The following is a 21,807-nucleotide window of genomic DNA, read 5'->3' on the forward strand; positions in this document are numbered from 1 at the left end:
GTGCCCATCTATCTGGGTGTATATCCTTGTTGCCTGGGATGGTCTTCTTTCTGCCTGTTGTTTTGGTGTATTTACTAACAGTGTCCCCTTTGCTCTTAAGAGTGTCCTGTTTTGGAAAATCAATTGATCAATGTCTAGCCTTGATCAAGCTGGGCCTGAACTCCATTCTGGACCATGCTCTTGCCCTTCTCTTTGCACTGCCTGCTCATTTAGCACAGGGAGGCTGACTGACACAGATGCAGCCTCCTACCACATCACAGGGGACTCACACACCTTTCCCCACTCCTGCCCATAGCCTGCAACTGCAGTGGCCGCTCCGAGGAATGCACGTTTGATCGGGAGCTCTTCCGCAGCACAGGCCACGGCGGGCGCTGTCACCACTGCCGTGACCACACAGCTGGGCCACACTGTGAGCGCTGTCAGGAGAATTTCTATCACTGGGACCCGCGGATGCCATGCCAGCCCTGTGACTGCCAGTCGGCAGGTGAGTGGACTCCACATCCCCAGCCTCCGACCCTCTCCCTTTCCTGGCCTCAATTGCCCTGTGCCCTTCCTCTCCCAGGCTCCCTACACCTCCAGTGCGATGACACAGGCACCTGCGCCTGCAAGCCCACGGTGACTGGCTGGAAGTGTGACCGCTGTCTGCCCGGGTTCCACTCGCTCAGTGAGGGAGGCTGCAGGTGAGGGCGAGGGGCGGCCCAGTATGGACACATTGCACTGAATGACAAGAAGCAGGAGGAACAGGCTGTCAGCAGTCCCTCCCCTCCCCATCCCTTCCTGTCTGCAGCTACCTCGCCCTAATCCTGGTGAAGACTAGAGACACTCAGCTCCTGGAGAGGCCAAGAGACAAAAACAGACCTTAATGAGACCAGGCTGAGCCCTGTGGAAGCTCAGCGGATCTTGCAGGTGGAGGGCAGGCTTCCTGTAGGAGGTGCTGCATAAGTGCAGGGAGAGGGGAAGGACAGGTGTTTGAGGTGGGGTGGGGGGCACGGGAGGCCTCTGGAGGAGCCGTGGATCAGTGAGAAGCAGGAGTGGGTGAGGGGGAGGCTGCGTGGAGGCTACAGCAGGAACGCCTGGGCAGCCTGCATGGGGGTTTGACTGTGGAGAGGGAGAGCAGGGCAGATTCCAGAGCCCAGTGCAAGGAGGAGCTAATAGGACATGGTGACCAGGGGGTGGAAGAGGAAGAAGAGGTGGAGGCTGACCTTCGGGGTTCTCTGGGCCTCTGGATAGCAGGGCACGCAGTGTGGGGAGCGGGGTGGGAGAGGCTGAGTGTCATCTGGGTGCACCGAGTTTGGTACCTAGTGGGACAGCTGAGGGGAGAGAGGGACAGGGGCTCCTGGGGTCTGGACCTTACCCCAACACATTTGCCATCACTTGATTGAGAAAGTATACAATGGCCAAAAAACAAAAACAAAACAAAACAAAAACCTATGATAAATTTAGAAGCTTTTTTTTTTTTTTTTTGAGACAGATTCTTGTTTTGTCAACCAGGCTGGAATGCAGTGGTGCCATCTTGGCTCACTGCAACCTCCACCTCCCCGGTTCCAGCAATTCTCTGCCTCAGCCTTCTGAGTAGCTGGGATTACAAGCATGCACCACCATGCCCACTATCTCTATTTTTTTTTTTAAGATGGAGTCCTCCTCTGTCACCCAGGCTGAAGTGCAGTGGCGCGATCTCTACTCACTACAACCTCCGCCTCCCAGACTCAAGTGATCCTCTCATCTCAGCCTCCTGAGTAGCTGAGATTACAAATGTGCACCACCACACCCGGCTAATTTTTGTATTTTTTGGTAGAGATGGGGTTTTGCCATGTTGCCCAAGCTGGTCTCAAGCTCCTGGGCTCAAGTAATCCACCCTCCTCGGCTTCCCAAAGTGCTGATTACAGACGTGAGTCACCGCGCCTGGCCCAGAAGCACTTTTAAGTGAACTTGCTTTGGTTGATAACGGGCATCTTTGTATATTTGAGAGGCAGCAGAAACACATTGGGGATATCTAGGAGAGCTCTGATTCCTTGTAAAATATTTGGTGGTTCTGGGCATAAAACTGACCATGAGATGGGGCCTGGCTGCTTCCCTGGGGTCCCTCTGTCCTCTGGACCTTTGCAGGTGCCACACCTCCCACCCCTGCCCCCTCTCCCCAGCCTGTGGCTCACAGCCTCCTGCTCATTCTTCAGGTCTCAGCTGAGCAGCCCCGCTCTCGGGACACCTTCCCTCCCACCTGCCCCTCGCCTGCACACCCAGGCTGAGTCAGAGGCCCCACAGTGCAGGCACAGCCTCTCGTACATCTCCCACAACACGTATCGCGGTACAGGGTCTGCGTGATCTGTCTGTCTACACCAGACTGGGATTCACCAGGGAGGAACCATGTCTTATTAGATGAGTGGATGGATGGAGGGAGGGATGGAAAGATGCATGGATGGGTGAATGAATGGGTGGATAGGTGGCTGCTGGACAGAAAGAAGGAAGGATGAATAAGTGGATGGAGGAGTGAGGGGATAGACAGAAAGATTCATGGAGGCCGAGCACGGTGGCTCATGTATGTAATCCTGGCACTTTGGGAGGCCAAGGCAGGTGGATCACCTGAGGTCACGAGTTAAAGACCAGTCTAGCCAACATGGTGAAACCCTGTCTCTACTAAAAATACAAAAATTAGCTGGACATGGTGATGCATGCCTGTAGTCCTAACTACTCAGGAGGCTGAGACAGGAGAATCACTTGAACCCAGGAGGCAGAGGTTGCAGTGAGCCAAGATCATGACACTGCGCTCCAGCCTGGGTGGCAAAGTGTGACTCTGTCCCAAAAAAAAAGATTCATGGATGATGAGTGAGTGCGTGGATGACAGATGGAAGGATCCTGGATGGATGTGTGGTGGGTGGGAAGATGGACCACTGTACCAGTGATGGATGGGTCACTTCCTTGGCAAGATGGGAACAGTAAAGCCAGGTCAGTTACCTGCGTCAGCCTCACTCCTGATGTTGGCAGCAGGGAAAGCTCCCTTCCTAGGATGGGCTGTTGCCATTCTGAATTTGCTCATTGCACATTTTCCTCTTGTCCTGTCTCATTGGCAGACCCTGCACTTGCAATCCCGCTGGCAGCCTGGACACCTGTGACCCCCGCAGTGGGCGCTGCCCCTGCAAAGAGAATGTGGAAGGCAACCTATGTGACAGGTTTGTGAGCTAATCCAGCAGTAAGCTTGCTGGAAGTGACCTGGGGGCTCACTGATGAGGCACCAAAGCTGTGGAGTGCGGGGAGGAGCAAGGGGCACGGTCTTCATGGACTTGGGTGACCTTGTCACCCTGTGCCCTTCCTGGGGCACCATGTATCTGTCATACAGGAAGTTACTCAAAAGCTTTATGGCACTGTTTGTGCTTTGATTCAACACCACTGATCATTCATAAGCTGAGAAAATACATGTCTTAGCTTAGAATCCTGAAAAGAAAGAACTGGAATGATAGGAGAGACCATCTAATCCAGGGATAGTAAATAGATGGTGCTCGTACTACCACCTGCTGTGGCAGACATCGCTAATGGAGCACTATCACAGGCCTCCCGTTTCACACTCACTGCAGACATAGCTAATGGAGCACTATCACAGGCCTCCCGTTTCACACCCACAGCAGACATCACTCATGGAGTATTATCAACGCTCCCCTTTCACACCCATGACAGACACCACTAACGGAGCACTATCACAACCCTTTCACACCCACGGCAGACCTATCACAGCCCTCCCTTTTCACACTCAATAGACATTACTCATGCAGCACTGTCAATACACCCCTTTCACACCCACAGCAGACATCACTAATGGTATACCCATGGTACACATCACTAAGGGAGCACTATCACAGTCTTCCCCTTTCTTACCCACAGCAGATATCACTAATGGAGCACTATCACAACCCTCCCTTTTCACACTCACGGCCAACATCACTCATGGAGCATTGTCAATGCACCCCTTTCACACCCACAGCAGACATCACTAATGGTATAACCATGGCAAACATCACTAATGGAGAACTATCACAGCCTCCCCCTTTCATACCCACAGCAGGCATCACTAATGGAGCACTATCAACCCTTGCCTTTCACAGCCATGGCAGACATCACTAATGGTGCCATATCAAACTTTCCCTTTCATAGCCATGGCAGGCATCACTAATGAAGCACTACTACAACCCTTCTTTTTCACACCCATAGCAGACATCATTCATGGAGCACTGTCAACACACCCCTTTCACACCCACAACAGACATCACTAATGGCATACCCATGGCAGACATCACTAAGGGAGCACTATCACAACCCTCCCCTTTCATACCCACAGCAGACATCACTAATGGAGCACCATCAACTCTCCCCTTTCACACCATGGCAGACATCACTGATGGCATACCCATGGCAGACATCACTAAGGCAACACTATCACAACCCTCCCCTTTCACACCCACAACAGACATCACTAATGGGGCACAGCAGTCTTGGCCATGAGCCCTACTATAACCTCAGGATCCTTCTTAACACCCTGCTTCAGGAAGCCCCTACCCACTGAGCTGGATTTTGAGCCTGTTTGCCATCTTTGCAGTCTGATCATGGTACAAATGGGGCATCTGAAGCTCTGCAAGTCAAAGGGGCTCTCCCAAGGCCAGGAAGTACATAAACTTCCTCTTTCAAGTGTTCAAGAGGCCTCCAAGCTCCAGCAGTGCGGCCAGCAGACAAACATGGGTTTAGCTCCTTGGGTACACACTATCTCTTCTTCCTGGCTTTGTGTCTGACATTCACCAGAGCTGCTTGGAGAAGTGGCAGATTCTGGGGCTGGGGCTGGAAAAAGACAAGATAAGCCCAAGGCGTCTTACAGTGCCAGGAAGCAAGGAAATGCTGAAAAACAGAGACAGACACAAACAAAACAGCCCAAACCAGAACGTGGGCCCATGTCAAAAGGACACAGGAGCCGACGTGAAAGAGCTCTCAGGGCTGAAACAATTTGAGCAACAAAATAAACGATAGTATTGGATTATAACCCAGAGAATAAAGTCAAATCCACGAATCCATACTGATGTAAATAGATGATTGAATACATAAATAGATGGGCATGAAGAGACAAACCTTCCTTGCAGAAGAATTCCAAGTAATGAATGTAGAAATGAAGGAACTGGAAAACCACTGTTCAGACCTCACAGTGGTAATTGCTACAGGCAAGAGCTGCCGATGAATGCTGACATTGGTGGGCAGAACTTTAAGGAAAGAGAGGATATTTGCATAACCTCAAAATATCTATTAATTACTGGGGTGGCTTTAACATCTGTCCGTGGGTTCTTTGATACTCTTCCTCTAGGAGGTCGAGCTTAATCCCCCTCTTTTTGAGACTGGGCTGCATTTAGTGACTTGCTGCTTTTTTTTTTTTTTTTGAGACGGAGTTTCGCTCTTTTGCTCAGGCTGGAGTGAAGTGGTATGATCTCGGCTCACTGCAACCTCTGTCTCCCGGGTTCAAGCGATTCTCCTGCCTCAGCCTCCTAAGTAGCTAGGATTATAGGCACCCACCACCACGCCTGGCTAATTTTTGTATTTTTAGTAGAGATGGGGTTTCACCATGTTGGTCAGGCTGATCTCGAACTGACCTCAGGTGATCCACCCACCTCGGCCTCCCAAAGTGCGTGAGCCGGCCAGGCGCGGTGGCTCATGCCTGTAATCCCAGCACTTTGGGAGGCCGAGGTGGATGGATCACGAGGTCAGGAGTTCAAGACCAGCCTGGCCAACATAGTGAAACCCTGTCTCTACTAAAAATACAAAAATTAGCCGGGCATGGTGGCGCACACCTGTAGTCCCAGCTACTTGGGAGGCTGAGGCAGGACAATTGTTTGAACCCGGGAGACAGAGGTTACAGTGAGCTGAAATCGTGCCACTGCACTCCAGCTTGGGCAACAGAGCGAGACTTCGTCTCAAAAAAAAATTTAAAGTGCTTGAGCCACCGCGTCCGGCCTATTCAGTGACTTGCTTCTAATGACTGGACCGTGGTGATTGCACAGTGGAGAGACTGGTAGACAGCACAGGTGATGAAAGTCAGCATCGCTTGGATGTCATGTGGGTTTCCTGTGCCCCCATGTGATATGACGAGAAGGGTACTTCACCTCTGTGTATTTCTTTCCCAAGCCTATAACTCTGGTCTAATCATGAGAAACATCAGACATTCTAAAAATACCTGATCAGTGCTTTTCAAAAAGTGTCAAGATAGTGGCAGACAAGGAAAGACTGAGAAGCGGTGATAGGTTGGAGGAGAACAAGGATACCACTAAATGCAACACCGTGTCCTGGATGGGATCCTGCAGCAGAAACCAGACATTAGAGGAAAAAGTGGAGAAATCCTATTAAAGTCGCTGGGCGCGGTGGCTCAAGCCTGAAATCCCAGTACTTTGGGAGGCTGAGGCGGGCGGATCCCCTGAGGTCAGGAGTTCGAGGTCAACCTGCCAACATGGTGAAATCCCGTTTCTACTAAAAATACAAAAATTAGCCGGGTGTGGTGGCAGGCGCCTGCAATCCCAGCTACCCGGGAGGCTGAGGCAGGAGAATCACTTGAACCCGGGAGGCGGAGGCTGCAGTGAGCCAAGATTGCACCATTGCACTCCAGCCTGGGCCACAGAACAAGACTCTGTCTCAAAAAAAAAAAAAAACAACAACAACAAAAAAACAAAACCTAATAAAGTCTGGAGTTTAGTTAACTTAGTTTTGACAAATGTACTGTGGTAATGTCAGATGTCAGCATCAGGGGAGGCTGTCTGAAGCAGGTATGGGAACAATCTGTAATGTTCTTACTACTCTTCTAGAATTCTGAAAAAAAATTGTTTTTAAGTTTCTGCAGTGATTCTAGACTCTCATTGGTCCAGCTGGGATACCCTGGCCCCGCCCCTTCCTGGCTGATTCACGTGGCCCTCGTGGGCATGTCCTGCCTCCATTTCAGATGTCGCCCGGGGACCTTTAACCTGCAGCCCCACAATCCAGCTGGCTGCAGCAGCTGTTTCTGCTATGGCCACTCCAAGGTGTGCGCGTCCACTGCCCAGTTCCAGGTGCATCACATCCTCAGCGATTTCCACCAGGGTAAGAGATGCTCCCTGCAAACGCCTCCCAAGGGTCTGCTCCCAGCCTAGGCAGGTGATCCTGCCCTGGGGAGATCTTGCATTAGTGGATCTCCCATTGTGGAGAGGAGCCACAGGCCTGCACAGCCTAGGTGGGGTCGGGGGTGAGATGATGGCTCCCCAGTGCCCACCTGCGACCCCCAGCTCCCTCCCCAGTCCCTGACTCTTCTCTTTATACCCGTGGTGGGGTTGGGGGCCGGGTACGTGACGCTTTTTGGATCCTGTAGGGGAATTTCCCACTCACCCCGTTGAGACTGGCCTCCCTTGGTGTGTCTAAACACTGGGGATTCAGGCTCAGTCTCCTGGCCTCCACTTATTGAGCACCTGCTGTTTGCCAGGCACTGTGCTGAGCACCTAACATGCAAGGATTCTCATTCCCCTTTCAATGATGAAGTAACTGAGACCTACAAAAGGTAGGCCACTTGCCTGAGGCCACATAACAGTTGTGAGCACTGCATTTGTCAGCTCCTGAGTTTTGCTCCTTTTTTTTTTTTTTTTTTTTTTTTTTTTTGGACACAGGGTCTTGCTGAGTCACCAAGGCTGAAGTGCAGTGGTGCAAGATTGCACAGCACAGCTCACTGCAGCCACCACCTCCCTGGGCTCACGTGATCCTCCCACCTCAGCCTCCTGAGTAGCTAGGACCACAGGTGTGCACCACCGTGCCCGGCTAATTTTTATATTTTTTTCTAAAGACAGGGTTTTGCCATGTCTTTAGACCCAGGCTGGTCTCAATCTCCTGGGCTCAAGTAGTCTGCCCACCTCCGCCTCCCAAAATGCTGGGACTACAGGCGTGCACCACCATGCCGAGCTAATTTTTGTATTTTTTTTTTTTTTTTTTTTTTTTTTGTACAGACGGGGTCTTACCATGTTGCCCAGGCTGGTCTAGAACTCCTGAGCTCAGGCAATCCCGCCCACCTCGGCTTCCCAAAGTGCTGGGATTATGAGTGTCCGCGCCCAGCTGTTTTGCCCTTAACCGCTGTGGTGGCCTATACCGTGGTCCCTGACTCCAGGTGGCACAGCCGCATATTTAAAGAGGAAAGCAGCAGAGCTCGGAGCTCTGCATTAAACCAGAGGCTGCGTGGGCCCCAGCGATGTCCCACGGAGCGCCCCGCACCTTCCGCCTGTCCCCAGGAAGGAGCGAGGCATCAGCTGAAACAGAAGAACCTCAGGGCCGACGCTGGGGCGGCCCCAGACATGAGGGCCGCGCGCCCTCTGCTGGAAGCCGCGCAGAAAGCAGGACCGAGAGATGCGCGGACCGGCGCCGCGTGTCTGGGTCCTGGGTCCGGGGGTCTAGGGTGTCAGCGTTGGGCAGGACTCATTTTCTAGACCCTAAGAACAGTGTCATGATCTGTTCTCACATTGGGCCAGGCACTGGGTGTGGCCGGCCCTTCAGGGGTGTCATCTCATTTTGTCTCACAGTTGCCCTTGCGCAGGAGTTCTCAAAACTTTTTGGTCTCTGAATTCCTCTTTTTTTTTTTTTTTTTAAGACGGAGTCTCACTGTGTTGCCCAGGCTGGAGTGCAATGGCGTGATCTCAGCTCTCTGCAACCTCCGCCTCCCAGGTTCAAGTGATTTTCCTGCCTCAGCCTCCTGTGTAGCTGGGACTGCAGGCACCCACCACCACGCCCAGCTTATTTTTGTATTTTTAGTACAGGTCGGGGGTTTCACCATGTTGGTCAGGCTGGTCTTGAACTCCTGACCTCAACTGATCCACCCTCCTCAGCCTCCCAGAGTGCTGGGATTACAGGTGTGAGCCACCGCACCCGGCCTCTGGATCCCTTTATGCTCTTGAAAATTATTGAGAACCCCAAAGTGCTTTTGTTTATGTGGGTGGTTTGTATGGATATTTGCTGTCTTAGAAATGGAAACTGTGGCTGGGCGCAGTGGCTCACGCCTGTAATCCCAGCACTCTGGGAGGCCGGGGTGGGGGTGGGGGGAGCGGATCACCTGAGGTCAAGAGTTCGAGACCAGCCTGGCCAACATGACGAAACCCCGTCTCTGCTAAAAATACAAAAATTAGCCAGGCGTGGTGGCCAGCTCCTGTAATCCCAGCTACTCGGGAGGCTGAGGCAGGAGAATCGCTTGAACCTGGGAGGCAGAGGTTGCAGTGAGCCGAGATCGCGCCACTGCACTCCAGCCTGAGTGACAGGGTGAGACTCTGTCTCAAAAAAAAAGAAAACAAGTAGTTTTTAAATTTTTATTATTTTTATTTATTTTTATTTTATTTTTTTAGCAGAGACGGGGTTTGCCATGTTGACCAGGATGGTCTTGATCTCTTGACCTCATGATCCATCTGCCTCGGCCTCCCAGAGCGCTAGGATTATAGGTGTGAGCCACCACACCCAGCTGATTTTTTTTTTTTTTTTTTTTTTTTTTTGAGTCAGAGTCTTGCTCTGTCACCCAGGCTGGAGTGCAGTGGCACAATCTCAGCTCGCTGCAACCTCCGCCTCTCGGGTTCAGGCGATTCTCCTGCCTCAGCCTCCTGAGTAGCTCAGATTATAGGCAGCTGCTACCATGCCTGGCTAATTTCTGTATTTTTAGCAGAGATGGGGTTTCGCCATGTTGGCCAGGCTGGTCTCGAACTTCTGACCTCAGATGATCCACCCACCTCGGCCTCTCAGAGTGCTGGGATTACAGGCATGAGCCACTGTGCCTGGCCTTCTAGTTCCTTCTAAATGCCTGTCTGCAAACTTCTCTTCATGTTGACATCTTCCTTTCTCTGACCTCTTTCCCCACTCCGTTCCTTCCTTCTTACCCCTTGGCTGCCCCAGGTATTTGGCCTCTGCCTCATTGCCCGCTACCCCCTGGAGAGGCACCTCCTTAAGGTCACTCGCTGTGTGCTGGGCTGTGCTCCGTGTTAACTGCTGTGGCCAGAGGGAGGAGGCACTGAACTGGCACTGGGGACCAGAAGGCCTGGGCTCCCGTCGTGGCTGGGCCCCTTCCTAACCAGGTGGCCTCCTTGCCTGAGGTGCTGTTAATGACATGGGCCACTGGAAGGACAGGGTTCATGAGGTCACAGGTGAGAAAGTTCTCTGAGAACCTGAAGATGAGGTCAAGTCTGGTACTATTAGAGATGGCCCTGATGTCCCAGGGCCCCCATGTGGGGGTCTTCAGGCTGTCTTCATGCTGAGCTCAAAACCCCACTGAAAGGGCAGGGCAGGCTTCCAGGTCTGACCATGCCCCCAAGCAGATCCGGGTCCCTGAGCTTTCTAGCTTCTCCTGGGGCTCCCTCCTACCCCAGGGCCCCCACCTGGGGCTGGCACCTGGAGACCACCCTCCGGGGCCTCACACTGATCGGGGGGTGTCTGTGTTTGCTGTCTAGGAGCCGAAGGCTGGTGGGCCAGAAGTGTGGGGGGCTCTGAGCACCCCCCACAATGGAGCCCAAATGGGGTCCTCCTGAGCCCAGAAGACGAGGAGGAGCTCACAGCACCAGGTACCTCCAGCACCAGGTGGGGGCTGGCCGCCCTGTGTCGGTTCCTCCTGCTGCTAAACAACTTGCCGCATATTAGAGGCTGAAAACAATGCCAGTTTATTCTCTTAGAGTTCTGGAGAAGTCAGAAATAGGTCTCTCGGAGCTAACATCAAGGTGTCAGCAGGGCTGAGTTCCTTCTGGAGGCCCATGGGAAAGTCCCTTCCTTGCCTTTCCCAGCCTCTAGAAGCCGCCTGCATTCCTGGGCTCATGGCCTCTTCCTCCATCTTCAAAGCAGCTGAGTTTTTCTCACGCCCCATCACTGGCACCAACTCCCCTGCCTCCCTCTTGTGTATTTGCCATTAATCTCTAATGATTGATGGGGCCCAGCTGGATAACCCAAGAGGCTCTTCCTACCTCAGGTCAGCTGATTAACAACCTTAATGTCCCCTGCCACAGAACACACCATATTTATGGATTCCAGGGATTAGAATGTGGATGCCTTGGGAAGGCTGTTATTCTGCCATCAGACCACCGTATCTGATGAAACCCCCGTTTTTCTGGTCATAGCTTTGTCATGGAGGGCTTCTTCAGTGCCACAGGGCCATAGCCACTGTCATGGCCCAGAGAATCTGTGTTTCCCATCAGCCCCTCACCCGCCAGGCCACTGCACCCTAAGCCCAGGGCCATGGCATTCTTGCAAAAGGAAGGAGGTTCTTGATCATTCTGACCTCTCCACCCCACAGTGAGGGGAACTGTGGTCTCCTGGCGACTGTCTCAGCCCCAGAACCCAGAGCCTAGAGCCCATCTTTAGCCCCACTGTGGCTGATTCAGGACCTGCCAGCACCCCCGACCAGCTCTGCCCTTTCCCTCCCTCCCTCTGCCAGAGAGGCCGGGGAGATGATGTCACAGGTGGCTGAGGAGCCGTGTGCCCTGCAGCCAGGAAGTCAAAGGCGTCGGGCCCCTCGTGGGGCAGGCGCTCCAAGCTCAGAGGCCCATGAGCAAAAAACTCACTCTGTTCCATGGCCACTCTGCTGGCATATGTAAGAAAAGGGGCTTATTCCTGAAAGAAGCGCTTGCTGGGTGTTGGGCACACTGCAGGGGTGAGATGGATGGACGGCCTGTCCTCATGGTGCTCTCAGGCCGGCCCGCTCCCGGGGCACCCTGAGCAGCTGGAGGTGAGGGCATGGCAGGGGAGCCAGGCTTCTGCCTGTTGCTTACGGTGGGGACACAGAAACAAACGTCTGGGCTGGCTGGTGACAGCATCAGAGGGAATGAACACATCGACCCTCTGGCCAGCATGTCCACCTTCTGTATTCTGCCTACGAGCACTCAGTGGGGCAAAGAGCAGGAGCTGAGGGAAGATAAGTATTTAGGCCGAGCGCAATGGCTCACACCTGTAATCCCAGCACTTTGGGAGGCTGAGGTTGGGGGGGATCTTCTGAGGTCAGGAGTTCAAGACCAGCCTGACCAATATGGTGAAACCTCGTCTCTACTAAAAGTACAAAAAAGTTAGCCAGACGTGGTGGTGCATGTCTGTCATCCCAGCTACTCAGGAGGCTGAGACAGGAGAATTGCTTGAACCTGGGAGATGGAGGTTGCAGTGAGCCAGGATTGCACCACTACACTCCAGCCTGGGCGACAGAGTGAGACTCCATCTCCAAAAAAAGGAAAAAAAAAAAAAGAGTATTTAATGGTGCAAGCTTGGGGCAGTCCCAGGAGGGGCTGGGTAGCCTGTTGGTGGACTGTGATGCGGCCGGTTGTGGAACAGTGTGTGAAACCATCTCACGTGTAGAACGTGAGTAGCAAAGGATGGGAGGGGAGCATTGCGCTCGTGCTGGTGATTGATTCTGGAGGCCGAATCGGAGTGCAGCCGGGGCATGTGGCCACCAGCTCCCGGGGCTCCCCGCTTCAGGCCGCTTCTGCACAGGTAAGAAATTCCCCCAGCCAGGAAACGCTCTGGGGCAGAGGGACACAGGGACTTTCAGTGTTTCGGGAGCTGTCCACCAAAGCTGTGGCGGGGCGCGCTACAGAATTTGAGGGATGCACTGCAGAATTAAAATCCCACCCCCCCAGTTCCCAAATAGGGGGAAGTACTATTAAAGGTACTAAAATATAAACACTTTTTTTCCCCTGCAGTTTTGCCCTTTATTTGTCATGGTGTTTTTTGGTTTGCTATTTGATGCCATTCTAGGTAAAGGAAAATTTTAAGTTATTAGCATGAAACATATAAAGTTATTAGCATGAATTTTACCATTCTTTTTTTTTTTTTTTTTGAGACGGAGTCTTGCTCTGTTGCCAAGGCTGGAGTGCATTGGCGTGGTCTTGGCTCACTGCAACCTCTGCCTTCTGGGTTCAAGCAATTCCCTGCCTCAGCCTCCTGAGTAGCTGGGATTACAGGCACCCACCACCATGCCCGGCTAATTTTTTGTATTTTTACTAGAGATGGGGTTTCACCATCTTGGCCAGGCTGGTCTTGAACTCCTGACCTTGTGATCCACTCGCCTCAGCCTCCAAAAGTGCTGGGATTACAGGCGTGAGCCACAATGCCAGGCTGCGTATTTTGTTCTTACGAGGACAGTGGAAATACTGCACACAACAAGCCCAGCCACTTTTATTTCACTCCTTGACACACGCATGTTCCACCAACATGGCACACCTCTGTGGCTTTCTCACGGGTAAGGGAAAGACCACTGGGAAAGGAGGAGGGAGGGTACTGGGAAAGGAGGAGGGAGGGTGGCCTGTGTCCTTTCCTCCTGGGTCACGAACTTCTGAAGAAATGATGGGCTGATGCAGTGAAATGACATGAGTCAGAAGGTACCGCACAGCGCTTGGTGGTTCGTGTCTCAGAAAACTAGTGCCTTCTTTCCGAGTTCAGGGCAAGTTCTGATTGGAAGGGAAAGCATGGCCCGGGGCCCAGAGCACCTCTGCTCACTCAGCCAGCTCACTTACCTTGCTGTCACCTGGAGGTCCCGCTAAACTCCTGCTGCTGGGTGTTCCCTAGGAATTTCGTGCTCATGGGCATCGTGAATGCTACACATGAGCAGACGGCAGCCTCTCTGGTCACACGTGTGTGTATCCCCTCCGTTCACCCTCGGACTCCGTGTTCCATCGGACGTCACTTCTAAAACCCAAGTTCAAAGATAAAATTATTAAGAATGTGAAGATGGTCACAGCAGAGCATGAAGCCAAGTGTGGGGGCGTGTGTGACTGCAGAGGTGTGGGTGGGCCCCCTGCAGGGTCTGCTGTGCAGGAAGCTTTTGATTTTCTACCCACTGCACTTTTATCTTTTTTGAATGTTTAGTTGCCGATAAAATCAACATAGACATTTAAAATCAAGCTAACCATATGAAGACTGTCAAAGCCTTCTTCTCTTGTCTTCAGAGAAGTTCCTGGGAGACCAGCGGTTCAGCTATGGGCAGCCCCTCATACTGACCTTCCGGGTGCCCCCCGGGGACTCCCCACTCCCTGTACAGCTGAGGCTGGAAGGGACAGGCTTGGCCCTGTCCCTGAGGCACTCTAGCCTGTCTGGCCCCCAGGATGCCGGGCATCCCAGGGAGGTAGAGCTCAGGTTCCAGTAAGTATCCCCTTCTGTCCTGAGAGATGGGGAGGTGAGAGGGGTGGTCTCTGAGGTCCGGGCACATTTCAGATGCCCCTGTAGTCTGGGGGGCTACCCCCCATCCCCAGGCATGGTACCCCCCCACCCTATGTCGGGATCTCACTTTGACCGCTTCTCTCGCCAGCCTGCAGGAGACCTCCGAGGACGTGGCCCCTCCACTGCCCCCCTTCCACTTCCAGCGGCTCCTCGCCAACCTGACCAGCCTCCGCCTCCGCGTCAGTCCCGGCCCCAGCCCTGCCGGTCAGTAAAGACAACCACATGCCCAAGACCCGAGTGCTTGCCAGGTCTCAGAACTGGGCTGGGCTCCGGCGGTCACAGTCTTGTCAGGGCCTTGCGGCCGGGTGGTTATTGTCCTGTTTTGCCAAGAAGGAACCTTAGTCAAAAGTCAGGACAGTTGCCAGAGGCCATATAACCTGTGAAGGCAATGGGGATGGTGGCTGAGGTCAGATGCAGGGAATGGACAGGAGAGAGGCCTGAAGGATGGGCCTCAGAGGCAGGTGTGCGGCCAGCAAGCCACCCAGACCCGCTGGGTGTGCTCACTCCACCTTCACTGGATCCACCAAGCCCCCTGTCCCCGCTGGACACAGCCCACAGCCGGCAGTCCAGGAGTCCCCTGGCAGAGTGACTCCCCTGCTGGTCACTGGCGGTATTGTACCTAAGCCACCCTAGGAGGGTCTGGTCTTCCCAAAGAGGGGGCCAAGCCATCACACATCATTGATGGGGGTCTGTCACCACCTCCCACCCTGGTCACAGTGATTGACAGCCTTAGCCTCTGATCTGTTCCTCATTAGAACCTCTACCCACACGCTATTTTAAAAATCAATATAGGTCGGGCGCAGAAGCTCACGCCTGTAATCCCAGCACTTTGGGAGGCCAAGGCGAGTGGATCATGAAGTCGGGAGTTTGAGACCAGCCTGGCCAAGATGGTGAAACCCCACCTCTACTAAAAATACAAAAATTAGCTGGGCGTGGTGGCACACACCTGTAATCCCAGCTACTTGGGAGGCTGAGGCAGGAGAATCGCTTGAACCCAGGAGGCGGAGGTTGTAGTGAGCCAAGATTGCGCCACTGCACTCCAGACTGGGCGACAGAGCCAGACTCCATCTCAAAACAACAACAGCAACAATAACAAAAAACAGTCTGGTGGGGTGGTCTGCACCTGTAATTCCAGCTACTCAGGAGACTAAGACTGGAGGATCGCTTGAGCCCAGGAGGTTGAGACTGTAGTGACTGTGCCACTGCACTCCAGCCTGGGTGACAAAGCGAGACCTTGTCTCTAAAAAAAAAAAAACAAAACAAAAAACAAAACCCCTAGTGTATGTGTGTAAAATGAAGCTGAGCTCTAGGCTCAGATGTTTACAAAGGGGTTTTTCTACCCTTCCAGCACCACGCAGGACATTTGAAAGTCATGTGGGGAGTTTCTGGGAATGTCAATTTCTGGGAACTTTAGGCCTCTTCATCCACATGACAACCAACATGTCCTCAGATTTGCTTCCAGGGGAGGGAGATTTTGCTCTTTTTGAGGACCTCTGGCTCAGAGGGTCAGTCTTCCCCTGGGCCTCTTTTGAGTCCAAGGGTGCTGGGATGCCCTGGAGAAGCAGAGGACATAGCGACCCTCCCCAGCACCCGCAATCCCCAAACTTCCTCTTTCCATGGGTAATGTTTTGGGAGGCCTCTCTCTAAACCTTTCTGTGTGTACGTACTTAACATCTGTATTTTTTTAAAAACATAGAAATGTGATTACACAGCCGGGCGTGGTGGCTCACGCCTGTAATCCCAGCTCTTTGGGAGGCTGAGGCGGGCGGATCACTTGAGCTCAGGAGTTTGAGACCAGCCTGGGCAATATGGTGAAACCCCATCTCTACTAAAAATACAAAAATTAGCCGGGTATGGTGGCATGTGCCTGTAATCCCAGCTACTCGGGAGGGAGAATTGCTTGAACCTGGGAGGCGGAGGTTGCAGTTAGCCAAGATCATGCCACTGCACTCCAGCCTGGGTAGCAGAGCCAGACCTTGTCTCAAAGAAAGAAAGAAAAAGAAAGAGAGAGGGGAAGGGAGGGGGAGAAAGAGAGAGAGAGAGTGAGAGAGAGAGAAAGAAAGAAGAAGGGAGGGAGGGAGCAAGGGAGGGAAAAGAAAAGAAAGAAAGGTAATCACACAGTACGATATTCTGGGACTTGCTTTTTGTCAGCTAACAGTGCGTCGTGGAGGTTGTTCCTTGTCATTACGCGTAGAAAGCCTGGTTTTCTGTGTCTGGTGTGTAAGATTCTGTGGTATGGGTGCTCTGTGAGGTTTTAGCCATCCCCCTATTGACAGGCGCTTAAGTGGCCTCCAGTTTTCCCCATTACAACCGTGTCACAGGGAATAGGGACCAGCCTCATAGAAAGGTCTTGGTATTCCAGTATAAGTGTCGCTTTAGGACAGAGTGCTGGAAATGGAGATGTTAGGTCAAAGAGGGAGCATTTTCCATTTTGATCCACACTGCCAAATTTTCCTTCAGAAAGGCTGCTCTGATGAGGAGTGTCGGCCGCCTCCAGTCTCCCTGTTCTGTGTCTACAGATGGTCATTTTCATATTTTGCCCAGAGTTTATAGTTGTTTTCTGTGGGAAGGTTGATCTGCCAGGATCCCCTGCTCCTCTGTTACTGGAAGCAAAACCTTCTGATTAGTATTCGTACATCCACACTCTTTTTTCTTTTCTTTCTTTTTTTTTTTTTTTTTTTGAGACGGAGTCTTGCTCTGTCACCCAGGCTGGAGTGCAGTGGCATGATCTCTGCTCACTGCAAGCTCCGCCTCCCGGGTTCATGTCATCCTCCTGCCTCAGCCTCCCGAGTAGCTAGGACTACAGGCGCCCGCCACCACGCCCGGCTAATTTTTTGTATTTTTTAGTAGAGACGGGGTTTCACCGTGTTAGCCAGGATGGTCTCGATTTCCTGACCTTATGATTCGCCCGCCTCAGCCTCCCAAAGTCCTGGGATTACAGGCTCGAGCCACCGCGCCCGGCCCATTTTTTTTTCCAAATATCAGATTTCTTTATTTTTAAAATGTACACATTATAGTTGATCTAAATACAAGATGTTCACTTTCCTTGCAGGTAAGAAATGTCACTGACATTTCTGTGTCAATTAGCTTCTTTTACATCAAAATCCTGTTACATTCATTAGTCTCAAAATCTCCTATAACACTTAGAACTTTAGGCTGGGCGTGGTGGCTCAAGCCTGTAATTCCAGCACTTTGGGAGGCTGAGACAGGAGTCCTTGAGGCCAGGAGTTCAAAACCAGCCTGGACAACAAGGCGAAACCGTTTTTCTACAAAAAATTTAAAAAATTAGCTGGGTGTGGTGCCACACACCTTTGGTCTCAGCTACTTGAGCGGCTGAGGCAGGAGGATCATTTGAGGCCAGGAGTTCAAGGCTGCAGTGAGCTATGGTTGTACCACTGCACTCCAGCCTGAGTGACAGAGCAAGATTCTGTCTCTCTTAAAAACAACCAAAACAACAAGAAAAATCTTAAAACCTTAGAAATAGACCTTAAACTTTGCCTAAATGTAGCATTCAGTTATGAGTAGCCCAGGTGAGTTTCCTACACGCCATCCTCCACTAAAATTCATCTATAAAATGTTACCAGTCTGAGAGATGTGAATGGTATCATCGTTGTTTAAATCTATATATCGTTAATAACCTGTGGATGGATATCTTTCCATAAAATTCTCAGCCATATCTATTTCTTCTTGAAAATTGCCTAATCATCTCCCTTACCCTTGAATTGACAATTTGAAAAATAAAAATAAAAATCAACCAGCGCAGTGGCTCACACATGCAATCCCAGCACTTTGGGAGGCCAAGGCAGGAGGATTACTTGAGGCCAGGAGTTCAAGACCAGCCTGGGCAACATGGAGAAACCCCATCTCTACAAAAATTTTAAAAATTAGCTGGGCTTGGTGTCTTGCCTGTAGTCGCAGCTACTTGGGAGGGTGACATGGTGGGATCACTGGAGACTAGGAGTCGAGGCTACAGAGCTATGATTGCACCACTGCACTCTAGCCTGAGTGACAGAATGAGAATCTGTCTCAAAAAAAGAAAAATCATTGATTGCTAGTCTGCCTTTATATACGTGGGCCTGGTCCATATGTGAACAGGAAGGTTTTGGGGGGAAGCATGTGCAGGGAGCTTGTGCCTCCTCTCTTCCTCTCTCCCTTCTCGCTCTGCAGGTCCAGTGTTCCTGACTGAGGTCCGGCTCACATCCGCCCGGCCAGGGCTTTCCCCGCCAGCCTCCTGGGTGGAGATTTGTTCATGTCCCACTGGCTACACGGGCCAGTTCTGTGAATCCTGTGCTCCGGGATACAAGAGGGAGATGCCACAGGGGGGTCCCTATGCCAGCTGTGTCCCCTGCACCTGTAACCAGCATGGCACCTGTGACCCCAACACAGGTGAGTCTCCTGGCACCCCATCCGAAGGCACCTGGGTTATACCCAAAACAGCGGGATGAGTACTGACCTGAACAGGGCCAGCCTGGCACAGGCATTGAGGTGTTGGCCAAGCTGTGGGGCAGTGCGGGCACTGAGCTTTCCCGTGCTGCTCAGTGCCTGGGCACCTCATAGTTTAATAAAAGTTACTACTGGAATTTGTTGAAGCCTCAGGCTCTGTGCCAAGGACTTTGTATGTATCAGGTGATAACCATAAGCCAGCTGCTCTGTGGGCCATCTGTCCGCGCCACCTTCTCCCTGGGCTGGCCCTTTTCCCAGGAAGGACCAGGGAAAGACCTCAGGGGTCTTTACATGCAGAGGGTGCTGTGAGGAAGGGCAGAGGCACCAGCATGGCAGGTGACAGCAGGAGGGTTCTCAAGAAGGTCACACAGGTGACAGCAGCTCATAGGCACCAACCCAGAACCACAGACCTGCCACCCTCACCCCTTAGTGGCCATGGGAAAGTCACTTCCCTCCCTGAGCCTGCTTCCTCTTCTGTAAGGTGGAGATAATGACAGTATATACACTGCTTCTGTTTCTACACAAAGCCATATGGTGGTCAGGAGACGCTCAGGCTCTGAAAACACAGGCCTGGGTTGCATAGGAGCTCAGCCATAGCTAACTGGGAATGCCTTAGGGAAGCGCAGATAATGAAAGTCTCTACTTTTCAGGACACTTGGGAAATAATAAAATAGTGTCACCAGGTTCCTGCATGTGCTAGTCACCTTCTCTACACTATATCATTGACTCCTGCAGACATCCCTGCGGGGCCGGGACCCTTCCTGTCCCATCTCACAGGTGAAGGCCCCACGCTGCAGTGCAGATGCATGGCCAGCAGGTGGCAGAGCCGTGCCTCCCTCCAGCCTGGACTCCTGAGGCCTGGTTGCTGCTGGCTACTCATTCTCACTTCTTTTTATTTTATTTTATGTTTTATTTTTTATTTTTTGTGGGGGGTGACAGAGTCTCGCTCTGTTGCCTATGCTGGAGTGCAGTGGTGCAGTCTTGGCTCACTGCAGCCTCCTGCTGGGTTCAAGAGATCCTCCCACCTCAGCCTCCTGTGTAGCTGGGATTACAGACGCCTGTCACCATCCTCGGCTAATTTTTATATTTTCAGTAGAGATGGCGTTTTACCATGTTGAGGCTGGTCTCAAACCTCTAACTTCAAGTGATCCTCCTGCTTCAGCCTCCCGAAGTGCTGGGATTACAGGCGTGAGCCACCACGCCTGGCCAACTGATCCCCACTTTTATAGGAGCAGACCTGGCCTTGCTCAAGGTCACATGGCCAGGAGGCACCTGAGAAGGCTGGACTCAGACCTCTTCCACTCCCACACTGACGGCTTCATGCCTAGACACCTGCTGCCTCCCCAGAGCAGGTGGGGGCTGTCTGAGAAGAAGGCTGCTGGGCATTTTTCTTCCTGAAAAGACGGTAGCCAGGCGTGGTGGCTCACACCTGTAATCCCAGCACTTTGGGAGGCTGAGGTGGGCGGATCACCTGAGGTCAGGAGTTTGAGACCAGCCTGGCCAACATGGTGAAACCCCATCTCTACTAAAACTACAAAAATTAGCTGGGTGTGGTGGCAGGCACCTGTAATCCCAGCTGCTTGGGAGGCTGAGGCAGGAGAATCGCTTGAACCCAGGAGGCAGAGGTTGCAGAGAGCCGAAATCATGCCATTGCACTCCAGCCTGGGTGACAAGAGCAAGACTCCAGAGGAAAAAAGAAAAAAAAAAAGAAGAGGCCAGACTTGGGCTCATGCCTGTAATCCCAGCACTTTGGGAGGCCAAGGCAGGTGGATCACCTGAGGTTGGGGGTTCAAGACCAGCGTGGCCAACATGGTGAAACCCTGTCTCTACTAAAAATACAAAAATTAGCCAGGTGTGGTTAGGTGCCTGTAATCCCAGCTACCTGGGAGGCTGAGGCATGAGAATTGCTTCAACCTGGGAGATGGAGGTTGTAGTGAGCCGGGATCGCGCCGCTGCACTCTGGCCTGGGCGACAGAGTAAGACTCCATCTCAAAAAAATAAAAAAAGGCCGGGCACGGTGGCTCACGCCTGTAATCCCAGCACTTTGGGAGGCCGAGGTGGGCAGATCATGCAGTCAGGAGATCGAGACCATCCTGGCTAACACGGTGAAACCCCATCTCTACTAAAAATACAAAAAATTAGCCAGGCGTGGTGGCGGGTGCCTGTAATCCCATCTACTAGGGAGGCTGAGGCAGGTGAATTGTTTGAACCCAGGGGGCGGAGGTTGCAGTGAGCCGAGATCGCGCCACTGCACTCCAGCCTGGGCGACAGAGCGGACTCCGTCTCAAAAAAAAAAAAAAAAAAAAAAAAAAAAAGACGTCAGCTGACCTAGCCGGGGAGGGCAAGCACAACCACACGCCACACGCCACATACAGGGCACTCTGTCTTCTTGTGTCCATGGCAAGCATTGATAATCGAGCCCAGACAAGGCCACATAATCCCTCCCTGCTGCAGTGCTTCCTGCAGCCCCTGTGGAGGAAGCAGGGTCCTCCCATGACTGGGATCAGTTTGTCATCCCCACAGAGCCTCTGGCCCTGCCACAACTTCCTGCTCAGCTTGGGCAAGTCCTCATCTGTGAAACGGGCAGTATAGCCCCGCTGCCTAGGCTGAGAGGAGGAATGAGCCTATGGGTGCTGGGCCTAGGCTGGGACAGTTCCCCCTGGATGCCAGCCCTGCTATGCATGAGCGACCTGGTTCTCACTCTTCCTCCCAGGTCACCTGTGCCTTGGCTGCTGGGGTGCTGCCTGGGGACCTCCTGGAAGTGGTGGTCTTGGTTAACCCCTTCTCAGCCAGGCTTCTCACTCAGTCCCTGGCAGCGGGTCTCCCTTCCCAAGCACCCCAGGCTCTGAGCAGATGCCAGGTGCAGTCGGCCTGGGGAAGAAGAGTTTGCAGAATCCACCGTCATCAGGAGCCAGAGGGCAGGAACAGGGGTTCCCTCCCCTGAGACTAGGTATCCCTTGTGTATCCCAAACCCCATAAAGGGGAGCCTCTTTGCAAAGTCATGTGAAGGCCAGAATTCTGGGTCTGTGTCTCCCTTAGGAAACGTTGCTCTTCCTTTTGGTCCCTTGGCATCAAGAAAACAACAGTGTAGCGAATGGTAGCCATGTCACCTTTTGGTTCAGAGAGAGGTTTCGGAATACAAAATAATAACAGTGCTGGCCGGGCACGGTG

The 21,807-nt window shown here is 52.5% G+C and overlaps 1 protein-coding gene across 3 annotated transcripts in view, besides 5 other annotated features; it reads left to right on the forward strand.

Moving 5' to 3' along the window:
• LAMC3 (laminin subunit gamma 3) overlaps positions 1-21,807 on the forward strand; it is an 85,300-nt gene that overhangs the window by 29,395 nt on the left and 34,098 nt on the right. For all 3 annotated transcript variants that reach the window (XM_011518121.2, NM_006059.4, XM_006716921.3), the window contains exons 5-12: positions 296-484; positions 563-680; positions 3,069-3,167; positions 6,956-7,092; positions 10,452-10,562; positions 13,923-14,115; positions 14,282-14,397; positions 18,361-18,579. In XM_011518121.2, coding sequence (XP_011516423.1) covers positions 296-484; positions 563-680; positions 3,069-3,167; positions 6,956-7,092; positions 10,452-10,562; positions 13,923-14,115; positions 14,282-14,397; positions 18,361-18,579 — 1,182 coding nt within the window. The remainder of the gene's footprint in view (positions 1-295; positions 485-562; positions 681-3,068; positions 3,168-6,955; positions 7,093-10,451; positions 10,563-13,922; positions 14,116-14,281; positions 14,398-18,360; positions 18,580-21,807) is intronic.
• Positions 8,180-8,453: an enhancer blocking element, noted in NCBI's record as "candidate insulator 9-5; strong CTCF association in K562 cells". NCBI's record gives its function as "blocks activity of the beta-globin HS2 enhancer when located between the enhancer and the Agamma-globin gene promoter in a lentiviral reporter assay in K562 erythroleukemia cells {active_cell/tissue: K562}" and the evidence as "EXISTENCE:reporter gene assay evidence [ECO:0000049][PMID:24098520]".
• Positions 11,492-11,992: an enhancer, noted in NCBI's record as "H3K4me1 hESC enhancer chr9:133925447-133925947 (GRCh37/hg19 assembly coordinates)". NCBI's record gives its function as "activates a minimal SCP1, AML or CMV promoter by ChIP-STARR-seq in primed H9 embryonic stem cells {active_cell/tissue: H9 hESC(primed)}" and the evidence as "EXISTENCE:reporter gene assay evidence [ECO:0000049][PMID:30033119]".
• Positions 13,103-14,302: an enhancer, noted in NCBI's record as "BRD4-independent group 4 enhancer chr9:133927058-133928257 (GRCh37/hg19 assembly coordinates)". NCBI's record gives its function as "activates an origin of replication core promoter dependent on BRD2, P300/CBP, MED14 and CDK7 cofactors, and independent of BRD4, by STARR-seq in HCT116 cells {active_cell/tissue: HCT116}" and the evidence as "EXISTENCE:reporter gene assay evidence [ECO:0000049][PMID:35650434]".
• Positions 19,390-19,604: an enhancer blocking element, noted in NCBI's record as "candidate insulator 9-2; strong CTCF association in K562 cells". NCBI's record gives its function as "blocks activity of the beta-globin HS2 enhancer when located between the enhancer and the Agamma-globin gene promoter in a lentiviral reporter assay in K562 erythroleukemia cells {active_cell/tissue: K562}" and the evidence as "EXISTENCE:reporter gene assay evidence [ECO:0000049][PMID:24098520]".
• Positions 19,610-20,111: an enhancer, noted in NCBI's record as "H3K27ac hESC enhancer chr9:133933565-133934066 (GRCh37/hg19 assembly coordinates)". NCBI's record gives its function as "activates a minimal SCP1, AML or CMV promoter by ChIP-STARR-seq in primed H9 embryonic stem cells {active_cell/tissue: H9 hESC(primed)}" and the evidence as "EXISTENCE:reporter gene assay evidence [ECO:0000049][PMID:30033119]".

Source organism: Homo sapiens, chromosome 9 (assembly GCF_000001405.40).
Source record: "Homo sapiens chromosome 9, GRCh38.p14 Primary Assembly".
Taxonomy (NCBI): Eukaryota; Metazoa; Chordata; class Mammalia; order Primates; family Hominidae; genus Homo; species Homo sapiens.